The following is a 12928-nucleotide window of genomic DNA, read 5'->3' as shown; positions in this document are numbered from 1 at the left end:
AGGGTTGGGGCAATCGGATATTTGTGTTTAGAACCCCTCTCAGACACTCCCTACAAAGTGAAGGCATCTCTTTTAACTTCCCCTTTCCCTCAAATTTCTCTTTTCACATACAATGTATGGCTGGAATTCAAAGGAAAATTACACTGTGATCAAAACTGCATATCTAAAGCAGAACTGTCAGTTACTATTATCTATTCTTGCACACCCATGGGACATGTTATTTTAAGTTGATGCTGCATTCAATTAAGCCCTTATGTTGGCTACAACATAAATCACATCATCTAGTTTTCCAATCTGATCCATCAAATCACTGACATAACATCCCAAACAAATGGTTGTGTTGTGCCTATACAAACTCACTGAAGGCAAAGGAACTAGTCTATTCAGTAGCATATTTTTTACATAAGTGAACTCTTCCAGGTTGGAAAATTTATCAGTGAAAACATATTAAATAAGTAATACAGAAATGGCACAGAGAGTGCTTAACAGCATGACTTCTGGAGCCTTAGATTTAAATTCAGATCTCAATTTTGCCTCTTCCAGGCTCTGTAACCTTAGGTAACTTATTTAATTTTTCCAAGCATGAGTCTCCTCACCTGTAAAATGAAGGTAACAAAGCACCTGTTTCACATTGTGGTGAAGATTAAATGAGATAATATACATAAAGCATTCACCACAGTGGCCAGCATGTAGTATACATTTGAAAAATGGCGACCATAGAAACAGGTAAAAGTACGGTTTTGGGGGCGGAGGTTGCAGTGAGCCGAGATCGTACCATTGCACTCCAGCCTGGGCAACAAGAGCAAAACTCCATCTCAAAAAAAAAAAAAAAAAAGAGTACGGTTTTGTAGGCAACACTGTGGAGTCGCTCTGGCATAATGTTCCCCTGGGTACCCCTCATCATGGTGACAGTGCTTTGGAAAAGAATGTCACTGCAGTACGAGCCCACGAGGGCCACATAGAAAGTGGTTAGGCTCTGCGTGATACTGGGGCCACACTGCTGGGTTGCAAACCAGCTCTGCCACTTATTAACTGTGTGACTTTGGACAAGGCCATTTGCCTCTCTGTACTTCAATCTCCTTATCTGTTAAGTAAGGATAATAATTGTCCCCATTTTGTTGAGTTGTCTTAAGTATGCTGTATAAATGCATTAAGGCATGAAATGCTTGGAACTGTTCCTGCTTCAGGGTAAACACCACATGCGTTAGCTGTTACAGTGATGATGAATCAGTAGGCACAAATCGCTTCAGATTATTTCATGCTGCCTAGAAGACAAGGTAGATCCAGGAAAGAACTCCTGGGCCAGGACCCTGACTCTCGGGCTCTCTTCCACTTCTACCACAGCTTTCTGCAGCCCTTTCCTTTCCTGTCCCTGCTGCTTGCCCTTCCCTTTCCCATCACCCTGATTCCTATGCTTTCTCCCAGCCTCAAAGGACATCCAAATCCCTCAGCCACTTTCTGAGTCAGCGCTGCTGCGCCAAGTGCTTGTGAGGTTGGTTGTCCTGGAAACAACAGCTTGCTCCATAAACCTCTAGGAATTAGGCTGGTTTGAGACATGACTTGGAGGAGTCTAGGTTATGCAGAGCATATAATTTGCTCTTCTCTCATTTTTTCCAGTTATGATGATGAACATATCTAATTCAGTAGTAGGTATTCGAGTACCTTCCAAACATGTTTATTGGCCAGAAAGAAACCCCCTAAACAGAGAGGAAAGGAGGCTGAGGTTTTTAAACTTAATCTTGCCCACAAAACAATTTGTTCGTGCCTTGCTCTGGCTCTAGTGAGTTCTTTTGCAGGCCAGGGCAAGCCTGCCTTTCAGAATGCTGCCTGGGATCAATGAGATGGTAGGCTTTGCTGTTAGGCAGGCCGGGATTTGAATCCCAGGTCATCCTCTTGCCACATGTTTCACTGTGGACGAATCACTTATTCTCTGTGAACCTCAGTTTTCTTATCTGTAAGATGAGGATCACATAGGGTGGTTAGGATTAAATGAAGTCATGTTCGTATAGCAGCTTGCTGCTCCATGGTTGGCTAGAAGTGCTCTTTTTTAAAACAAAAAAGTAAGGTGAAAGACTCTGAGGCAAAGAGACATGGGTGTTACTTGGAATGAAAAAGCTGGAAAATGACAGAATCTTGTATTTTCCCTCCCCCTCTTAACCACTGTCTTCATTTGGAGATCTTATTCAGGAGGCAAAAGAGGAAACCTGGATTGTGAAATGTCAACAGTCATCTTGCACAGAAGAAAAGCAGAAACGTTTTACAGTTAACACTATTGACCCCAAGATTTCTGACCTGACAAAATTCCTGCACCAGCATTTTCTAATGCTATATTTTTTCCACCCAAAACAACTTATCTGCAATAAAATTATTTCATAAAACAAGACACAGGACAAAGATGTTCTCTGTTACTACCCAGGTATCTTGAACTGCATAAGAGAAAAAGGTGAATGGAGGAAGATTCACTATATTATTTTTCATGCTTTAATATCAAAAACCATAGCCAAGGCTTCTAAGAGCCTTTTCAAAGATTTTTATGGCCCTTCCTTCATAATTAATTTGGCAACCAACCCAGGAACCAGTACATAGCCCCATTAACATCTAGGGGAGGCCCCACTATCTACTGAAGCATATATTGATGCTGATACAAATAATCAGTGTCTTATGCAGCTTATGTACACCAATTATATGTCAGATTCTTGACATATACAGTTTTTAACCCACACGTGAGGTAACTGAAGGAAACTTAATGTCTAAAGTAGTTAAGAACTTTAATACCTTCTCAGGAAACTCTGTCTTTAGGTTTAGTTCTGCAGCTGAAAAAGGGAATATTTCTGGACCAAACATTTCTTTAAAATATCAAATGAGACGCTGGAAGCTATGTGAGAGTGGAGGGTTGGAGAAGGGAGAGGATCAGAAAAAATAACTATTGGATACTAGGCATAGTACTTAGGTAACAAAATGATCTGTACAACAAACGCCTGTCACAGGAGTTTACCTATATAACAAGCCTGTACCTATACTCCTGAACCTAAAATTAAAGTTTTAGAAGAATAAAAAAAAAAAAGAGAATCTTAATGCATTATATCAGAGTGTTCAAAAGGTCCCAGAGAAAAATGCAGTAATTATGGAAGATGTAACTTGTAAACATGAAAATTATGGAAGATATAAATTGTAAAACTATCAATACAAAATTTCACTATTTAATTCCAGGCACATTTTCTAGATTGGCTTTTACAATCTGAGAGAACTACTCTCACTAATTAAAAACTATTTATTAATTTAAATCCACATGCTTGACAACCCTGACTCTATCATCCCCAATTTTTAGTGAGACAGCTTCACTTATTAGAAATTTAGTCTTCATATTTTTGTAATTTAGGGAGATTAAAATATGAGCATACAAACTTTATAACAGCAATTTTCATTGCAAGATGTTTTTAATTGTTTAAAAAAACAAACAAAAACTTGCAGAAATGTTCCTATTCACTTGCTCTTCTCAGGATACTAGCACAAGTGATCAGGAAAGGAATAAGTCAATATTAATTATTACCAGGTCTCGCCAATTATTATTGGTGCCTATTGCAAGTAATCTTTTACACTTCTATGTATAAGTGTGTCTTTTCCAAAGGATGTTTCGAAGCACAGCTGGCTACAGAGATTAGCAGCTGAGGGCCCACTTATTCTCCAGTACCAACTCATAGCTCTCACCATCACAAATACACTACAAATCCTAACTTGGAATAAATCTGCTTTAAGAAAATGCTGGAGTAATGAACAAAGTTCAGTGCCATGAATCAGAAACCTAAGCATCAGAGAAGGAGTGGCTGGTCACAACTGTCATAGCCATGTGACTTGGGGCAATCACCGAGCCTTCTGGGTCTGTCTCCTCTTCTGCAAATGAAGGAATTAGGCCAGATGACCTAGGGTCCCTCCAGCCTGAAGTCAAAATGGAAGCAGGCAGCAATGTGTGCTATTTAACCCCCCTTACAGGTAGAACATTGTAGGTTAAAACGTGAAACAAATGAGTAGCCTAAAACAGACTCACATTCACTGTTCATTCAACTAAAAAGCTAAGCACCTGAAGGAAGGCACTACGTTCAGCTCATTTCTGAAACAATCCACTCACTAAGGTTAGTGTGAGCATATCTGTGTATATAGGTGTTGCCCACAGGACACCAAGTCCTATGTGTGAATTCACATCCCGGGGAGCTTTCACAACCACACAGCACACACTCAGCATCCGAAGAAAGACAAACAGCACTAAGAAAATTCAATTTTCATGATGCACACCAGGGAGGCTAAGCCTTTTTCAGTACCCTAATCTTTAAAATGGTGCATCTACCACCTCGATGCCACATTATGCAAATTTACTAAGAATTGTGAGTGAAGAGATTTCAGCCCAATTAAAAAAAGATAAGGTTTTTTTTAAACGTGTCAATTCCAAGAAGATGGCCCAAGAAATAAGCCGTAATTACTCTATCATTATATCAACTCTTTAATCACTTTTTTCCCCTTGCCTCCCAAAAAAAGAACTGAGGGGAAGTGGAATTTAAATAAAAAATGAATAGTCCCTCCAAGAAACCTCCATAGAAGAGGAGTATATCTTCTGACAGAACACATCTGTGTGCCTCTTAAAAAGGATATTCTAAATCTGGAGGGAGTTAGCTTAGATCCCCACCTTCCAGGCCCTGCCATCTGGAATTCTCAGACCCGTAATATCAAACTGTAAGGAAGCCGGGGCTGGATGAGTATCCCCACTCCCCTAACCCCACTCCAACATTCTATGTGCTACCACGCTCCCCTATTTCAACCCAACTGGTTGAACAGGAAACATTCCTAAGATGAGCAGGTAGCCGGTGGAGCTGAACCCAAGTCTCCCCAGCCCATGTCCACTGACACCCTGGTAAGTGGCACCTTCGCTCACCTTCTTCACAAGGTAGCCCTCTCTGATCCGCTTTGGTTCCATGCTGGCTGGACAGGCAGATGCAAAGGTCACTCTCAGGCAACTCCTCTCAGCAGCTGGGCCTCCTCTGCATGCTGAGGTGGCTGTGGGCCGCCTTTTCTACAGCAGGTCGCTTTCACAATTTCCCTTCTGCTGGCGGTCGCATGATCACATCCTCTTCCCCTCACTGGGTTGGAAGATCAGAATAAGGAACTGCAGAGTAAACCACCCATTCCTTGCTAATGCTGGAGACTTATTAAAACCACAGTTGGGTTGAATATTTACCTAAGGGAAATTCTTACTACCATACAGAAAATCCCTCTTTTAAAGAGAAAAAGAAGTGATGAAAGGAAGAGGAAGATGAACAAGAAAAACTTGTTGGTGAAAATTGTCCTGAGTAAGGATTATTCTTGAGATCCTGGAAATGCCCAATAAAAATGCCAAGAAATTCAGAACCATCTGGTTAGCATAACAAAGTTAACTACTAAATGAATGCCTACTTCTCTCTATGCCAAGCCCTGTATCAAGTGTTTCTCAGCCTACTTATTTTAAACTAAATTAGTCTGCACATCGGCCAGGCATGGTAGCTCACGCCTGTACTCCCAGCACTTTGGGAGGCCAAGGCAGATGGATCACCTGGGGTCAGGAGTTCAAGACCAGCCTGGCCAACATGGTGAAACCTTGTCTCTACTAAAAATACAAAAATTAGCCGGGCATGGTGGCGTGTGCCTGTAGTCCCAGCTACTCGGGAGGCTGAGGCAGCAGAATCACTTGAACCTGGGAGGCGGAGGTTGCAGTGAGCCGAGATTGGTCCACTGCACTCCAGCCTGGGCGACAGAGAAAGACTTCATCTCAAAACAAACAACAACAAAAATGAGTCCACACATCAAACCCATAGGGAAAGTATATTATTTTCCTTATCTTAGAGTAAGGAAACTCAGGCTCAGAGAAGAAAAGTTGTCTCAAGTTGACGCTGCAGGTCACAGGGGAAAGCAGAAGAACCAGGGAGGGATGTGCTAGGGTGCCACTGCCTCACATCAGGCATGAGAACAGGTGTTCCACGTTGAGTGCTGATCTCACAGTCAGCCTGTAAAAAGAAGTCCATCATCAAACAGGTTTTTGAGAAACTTTACAAAATAATCCCAGGTTGGCAACTCCTCTAAATGATGAACAAATTAAAGACCTTCGCCCCGCCAAAGTACTACAGTAAAGAATCCTATAATGGTGTTTTCCAAACTTACTTCGCCATAGCATTCTTTTTTGAACAATTTATGTTAACTTTTTTTGTCATAAATTGAATTAGATCTCCCAAAAAAGAAGTCCTAACCCTTAGCACTTCAGAATGCATCCTTATTTGGAAATAGGGTCATTGTAGATATAATTAGTTAAGATGAGGTCATACTGAAACAAGTGGGCCCTTAATCCAATGTGACTGGTGTCCTTATAAGAAAAGGGCACACAGAAAACAGCCATGTGACAACAGAGTGATGCATTTACAAGCCAAGGAACGCCAAGGATGGCCAGCAACCCCCAGAAGCTGGAAGAGGCACGCAACAATTCTCTCCTAGAGTTGCTATAGAGAACATGGTGCTGACGACACCTTGATTTCAGACTTACGGCCTCCAGAACTGTAAGACAATAAATTTCCATTGTTTTAAGCCACCAGTTTGTGGTACTTTGTTATGGCAGCCCCAGGAAACCAATATAATCCTGAAAAACGAATATTCCATAGAATAAACTTAGAGACCCGTTAATCTGACCATGTGAAAATGAGCAAGTTTGTTATTACTTTGTGCCTCAGTTTTCTCATCTGTAATACGGGGATAATAACACCTATCCAATGAGGTCATTCTGAAGATTAAATGAGATAGACATGGAAGTATTTAGAAGAGTGTCTGAAACATAACTAGTATCCATAAATATTAGTTGTTCTTCATCTTCAAGGCAAATCTCCGTTATCCTAGAGCTGATCCTTTTCAATGATAAGTTCAACAGAGATGATGAAAGCAATCGTAGGACTAGATTTTCCTCATTACACCCGTCAGTGTTCTTTCACTGCAATCAACAGATAACAACTCTGGCTAATAGAGGCAAATAGGAATTTACTGGAAGAGAATGGAGTGGCCCACAGACTGCAGGAAAAATGAAGACTGGGGTCTTTGAAAGGACAGGAATCAGGGCAGTTGTGGGGTTCCAGGAAGCAAGACACCAAGATGAAAGAATGCCAGTGGTTTTCAGACTCTGCAGTAGTCTCCAGGGATCAGGCCTCTGATTGGCCTAACTTGGCCTAGTGCTTCTCTCTCCGGTATCTGAAGGGGGAACATGTGAACCGACAGCCCCAGCAGGACCATGCTCAATGGGAGAAGGGAGGTGTCCCCTAAAGTAAAATCAAGATGCTATTAACAATAGATGAGCGATGGCTCCGAGAAAGGCAAAACTGACAGACGTCCACGAGGGCATCTGAGGAGCCAGGAAAGTTAGGGGAAAGAAGAAGTTCTGTTCTTGGGGTTTTCTGAGAGCTTCCTGATTCCCTCTCCTCTTCCCTCCAGCTGTGTTTCTAGCTAACAGTCACTGCCCCTGTATTTCTCACTTTTCATTTTATGCTAATATCCATTACTTAAAATCGTTGATGGTTTCTTTTCAGTTTCTCATTGCACCAAAATTAATTAGAAATTGTTATAAAGTGTTGGGGGCTGAGAGTAGAGGGATCAACGTTTGATGTCACCTGAGCAAAACAGGAACAAATAAAAGGGTAATTTTCTGTATCTGCACTCAAACAAGTATTTTGCTATGTCTGTATAGTCAATGGAAACCACTCTTAGATTTACCAAGTCTGATTTCATAGTTAAATATATCTCCTTTTGTTTAACTGACCAAGTGACTTCTAATTTGGAATGTCTTCACTGTTTGTCCTAGCATGATCAGAAGGCTTTAAAGAACCCTCACTCAGAAACCTCATATTATTTTTGGATGCCTCCGGTGTAAAAGCACCCCCTGCGTTCCGAATAATTCATTTCAAGAAACATGGTATTAAGTGTTTAGTATGTACCAGGCGCCTGAATAGGTGCAGGGGTAAAAATGTCTTGACACCAAGGAACCTCCGGCATTTGTGAATCTGCTGAACATCGCCATTGATGGACTGGATGCTGCCGCCTTTGCCCCTCCCCCTCCTGCCACGTGTCATCGCGCCTACTTAGCGACACCTAGTGGTCAGTAAAGAGAACTATCTGAATCAATGACGCCTTTCAGGACTTCTCTCAACAGAGTTTGACCAAGTTTTCTTCTGCTGTGTCAGATCCCTCTCCCAGATCAGATCATTAGAACCTCCTCCAGTATCTTATGTATATGTGTCTAGAATGACTTTTTTTTGAGACAGAGTCTTGCTCTGTCGCCCAGGCTGGAGTGCAATGGCCTGATCTTGGCTCACTGCAACCTCCACCTCCCAGGTTCAAGTGATCCTCCCACCTCAGCCTCCCAAGTAGCTGGGATTACAGGGACACGCCACCACGCCCGGCTATTTTTGTATTTTTAGTAGAGACAAGGTTTCACCATGCTGGCCAGGCTGGTCTTGAACTCCTGACCTCCGGTGATCTGCCTGCCTTGGCCTCCCAAAGTTCTGGGATTACAGGTGTAAGCCACCGCACCCAGCCTAGAATGACTTTTTAACATCTCTTTCTGTACACATTTGATCAATAACCTTGGAAACATTATTCTTGTAGCACATTTTATTGCTGTAAGGGCAAGTTAAGACTTCTGAATAAGCAAAAATGATTACTGAGCATCTCCAATGGAAAACTATGCATTCTTTACAGCACACTTTTCTAAGTTATTTGTTTCTATGGAATCTGTGTTTTTTTCTTGTCTTGGAGTTATTCTAGAGCTCGGTAGATTGTGGATAAATACAAATAATTCTTGTCTATAAACATGCAAATAAATTCTGCCTGATGGAAGTTCAGTAGACTCCACCTTACCCCACACCCGCACTCCACCCCGCCTCCCATGGAAAAAGTCAATTTTGTGTCCATTGGTAAATGAATTTCAACGTTGCTTTACTCTATATAAATTGGTCTTTGACCTTGCCTTTGAACTGGTGGTGACCTCTGGCTAGTTTCCCCTTTAATTCATGAGTTAAATAAAATTTTGACATGTTTTCATTCTATTATATGTAAGAGTCATCGTTTTATCTTTTTCAAAGTTATTCTTTAGCATTGGTAATTCAAAAGAGACATTAAATTTAGCTGAGAAATATCAGACTACCTCTAGTGCTAAATATAAATTAAGTAAAAGGTGTCAAAACCTGTGAGAAGAGTCTGAGATGTTACCCTACTTGTAAGTTAACAGGTCAGCCTGCCTGTTTCAGGGATGCTCACAGAAGACTCAAGACTTCTGGAGTTTTGAGTGAGACAAAGGACTTTGCTACTCACAGCACAGTAAACAGAATTAGCTCCATATTGGTCTTGATGCTTTTTGGCCCTAAGTCTACCAAGGACAAAGTGGAGCGGCCTAGATGGATGCTGCACATACTGAGGGTTCGCATCACAATTGAGGACCCAGAGCTTAGGGAACATGAATCTTTTGTAATGGGCTGCAAGCAAACCAGCCCAAACTTTGTCTCAGAGGCAGACCTTATTTTTATTTTACTGGACAGTAAGTGAATCTGCCCTTTGCTCTGGAAGGAGACAACCTCTACCTTCAAAGCTGTTGTTCACTGTACAAGCATCCATAAAATAGAGTACCTCTGCTTGCAAGTTGTACCTATACACAAAAAACCCATGGAGAACTTTCTCCCAACAAAAAGAAAGCATTAAGTTGTCTAATTCACTTAAACCTATTAGAGAATATCTAGTTGGTGCCCAATGGGCTTCAGTTCAAAAGAGGGAACTGAGCCCACATACTGAGTAATCCCCTTTCAACAGATACACAAATTCATATGGAAATGATTTAAGAATATATAAAAGTGTGAACATATACCCACTTGCTCAAAAGAAAGCACTTTCACACATATATTTCCTTGCTGTGTTAGTGGAGAAGGCCTAGAAGCGACAACACCCTGGTAGTGTCAAGCACATCTAGCTCCCAGATCTTGATTACTAATACGATTCTCCAATAAAAGGAATGAGACGTCCTTGGAGAAATAGATGGCTCTAAGATTTCAGCAGGAAATGCAAAAGATGACCCTGAAGCATCCTGCGTACCAGAAAGTAAGAAAGTGCTAAAAATTTTAACTAAAAACACAAAAAACTAAAACCATGATGGTGATCAAAGGGACCAAAGAGCCAACTGACTGAGCACCTAGTGGCCAAAGCTAGAAAATTTAGAGCAAGAAAATAAAGAAAATAGTATTGGATTATAACCAAAGTCTAAAAATAAATAAATTAATGATTGAGTAAATAAATAAGAGAGAATACACAGATCTATTCCAAGATTCCAAGAATTCCAAATAAGTTATCTAGACTCTCCACCCTTAAAGAGGTGGAGCATGAATCCTCACTCCTTAACTATAGGCTGTGTATAGTGACTTTTTAAAAAGTACGGTACAGAAAGGAGAAAAAAGGAGTAACTTTATGGTGGAGAAACATGATAAATGCAACCTCAGCCAGAGCCAGGTGATCAAGGTTAACATCATGGTCATAAATCAGATTATAGTATACACCCTTGGTATCTAATCATGAGAAAAACACTAGACCAAACCTCAATTGAGTGATAGTCTATGAAAGACCTGACTAGTGCCCCTTAAGATTGTCAAGGTCATCAAAACCAAAGGAAGTCTGAGAAGCTGTCACTCCCAAGAGAAGCCTAAGGAGACATGGCAACTAAATGTCATATAATATCCTACATGGGATCCCAGAACAGAGAAAGGGCATTAGGGGGAAACTAAGTATATCTAAAGAAAGTGTGAACTTCCACTGGAGGTCGGGAGTTCGAGACCAGCCCAACCAACATGGAGAAACCCGGTCTCTACTAAAAATACAAAATTAGCCAGGCGTGGTGGTGCATGCCTCTAATTCCAGCTACTCTGGAGGCTGAGGCAGGAGAATCGCTTGAATCCAGGAGGCGGAGGTTATGGTGAACCGACATCACGCCATTGCACTCCAGTCTGGGCAACAAGAGCGAAACTCTGTCTAAAAAAAAAAAAAGAAAGTATGACCTTTTAAAATGATAAATGTATCAATTTTGGTTAATTAATAATGACAAATGTGCCCTGCTAATGTAAATGTTAATAATAGGATAAACTGGACGCGGGGTAAATGGGTACTCTGTACTATCTTAATTTTTCTGTAAAACTAAAATTATTCTAAAATAAAAAAGAGTCAAGCGTGGTGGCTCATGCCTGTAATCCTAACACTTTGGGAGGCTGAGGCAGGCAGATCACCTGAGGTCAGGAGTTCGAGACCAGCCTGGTTAGCATGGTGAAACCCCGTCTCTACTAAAAATACAAAAATTAGCCAGGCGTGGTGGCGGGTGCCTGTAATCCCAGCCACTGGGGAGGCTGAGGTGGGAGAATCAGTTGAACCTGGGAGGTGGAGGTTGCAGTGAGCCGAAATCATGCCACTGCACTCCAGCCTGGTCAACAGAGCGAGATTCCATCTCAAAAAAAATAAATAAATAAAATAAAATAAAAAATAAAAAGGTCATTTTAGTAAAAAGAAAGCATTTCCAATTCTTCTCCACTTTCTCATTTTCATCATGTACAGATGGAGATTCCAATGCAACCATTTCCATATTGTTATGTTCACATTCTCTTCATTCGGAAAGGCTTTAAATTCAGTAAGAATTCTTTTTTTCAGTGGGATCTTTGTTTGATCAGTTCTTCCTCTCCCCTTGAGGATCATGGAGTTACAGAAGGTTGCTTTTTAAAGGATGTGCCTTTGTTAAGTTTAAGATTTTAATTCGGGGTATAATTCCCTGGCTGGAAAGCGTCCAGATTTCAGGTTTTTTATAGTATTCTTAAACAGAGGCATTACACCACCAATAACCACCAATAACGAACAGAATGAATCCTCTAGAAGAATCTCATTAATACAGGTGAGCCCAGAGCTCTAACTACTGGAGGTGTGGACTGTTGAGGGTCAATGAGGACCAAATACCAGTCCTGCTAGAAATTCAGGGAAGTGCAGCAGGCCCAGTGCATGGAAGAGTACAGCCGGGCACTGGCTGCCAGCTCACACTTGCAAAGAGCCAACCACCTAAAGGAGTGTGGCTATTCTGCCTGCGAATGAGGGCAGTTGCTCTAATGAAAGGGCATGCTAGGGGGAGCTGCAGGTTTACAGAGCACCCTGTAGTTTGTTTACTGAACAGTGATGGCCATGAAGGCAACTGAAGGCTGAGATCCAAGCTGTGTGTAGCAAGCCCTCCAGCACAAGTCAAGGCTGCCCTGGGGAAGAGGTACCTTGTTATTGTGTGCAATAGTACCCTCCTCCAGCTAAACCCTGTGCTCATGGGTTTGCACCTGCCCAGATTTAATGAATCTAAAATTTACTCTACTTTCTGTTTGGGCTCGAATGATAGTGAGACAGTGAGAAAAAGGGCTCCCCAGAGAACCTCTGACCGGCCTGTGCACTGGGAGGATGGAGTGGGGCCTTGGGAGGTTCACGCCATTTGCAGCGGGTAGGAGCCTGGCCTCTCCTATTCCTGGGTGGTAACCTGGGATTCAGTCTGTGAGATGGGGGCCTGTTAACAGGAACCCCTCTTGCTTGGCTGAAAGAGTCTTTTTTCTTTTCTCCCAATAAATTCTGTAACCTTTCACCCTTTAAAGTGTCTGCATGCCTAATCTTTCCTGGTCGTGTGACAAGAATCCGGTTTTTTTTTCCTACAGCAATAGGAACAGGAACAGAAGTTAACATCAATTCTAACATTGAAATATAGAGATCGGTCTCTTGAAGGACAAAGAGTAAACAACAACAACAAAAAAAATTAGCCCATATAAAGAGTTGACATAGCTGAAAATGCAGCACATCCATAAAGGAGCTGAACCCAGTAGGATAC

The 12928-nt window shown here is 41.6% G+C and overlaps 1 protein-coding gene and 1 long non-coding RNA gene across 3 annotated transcripts in view, besides 2 other annotated features; one reads left to right on the top strand and one right to left on the bottom strand.

Moving 5' to 3' along the window:
• The window catches only part of PLEK (pleckstrin), a 32172-nt gene extending 27136 nt beyond the window's left edge, over positions 1 to 5036 (bottom strand). For both annotated transcript variants that reach the window (NM_002664.3, XM_047444772.1), the window contains exon 1: positions 4925 to 5036. In NM_002664.3, coding sequence (NP_002655.2) covers positions 4925 to 4966 — 42 coding nt within the window. In that variant the 5' untranslated portion in view covers positions 4967 to 5036. The remainder of the gene's footprint in view (positions 1 to 4924) is intronic.
• Positions 3914 to 9101, top strand: LOC101927723 (uncharacterized). Its single transcript, NR_187652.1, has 2 exons — positions 3914 to 4903; positions 7859 to 9101. It is a non-coding gene; the product is annotated as an uncharacterized LOC101927723 (long non-coding RNA).
• Positions 4997 to 5076: an enhancer, noted in NCBI's record as "active region_15949". NCBI's record gives its function as "activates an Ori minimal core promoter by ATAC-STARR-seq in GM12878 lymphoblastoid cells {active_cell/tissue: GM12878}" and the evidence as "EXISTENCE:reporter gene assay evidence [ECO:0000049][PMID:35858748]".
• Positions 8008 to 8077: an enhancer, noted in NCBI's record as "active region_15948". NCBI's record gives its function as "activates an Ori minimal core promoter by ATAC-STARR-seq in GM12878 lymphoblastoid cells {active_cell/tissue: GM12878}" and the evidence as "EXISTENCE:reporter gene assay evidence [ECO:0000049][PMID:35858748]".
• Positions 9102 to 12928: the final 3827 nt, after the last annotated feature.

This window comes from Homo sapiens, chromosome 2 (genome assembly GCF_000001405.40).
Source record: "Homo sapiens chromosome 2, GRCh38.p14 Primary Assembly".
Lineage (NCBI taxonomy): Eukaryota > Metazoa > Chordata > Mammalia > Primates > Hominidae > Homo > Homo sapiens.
Note: the sequence above shows the minus strand (reverse complement) of the source record. Positions and strands in the feature narration are given on the sequence as shown.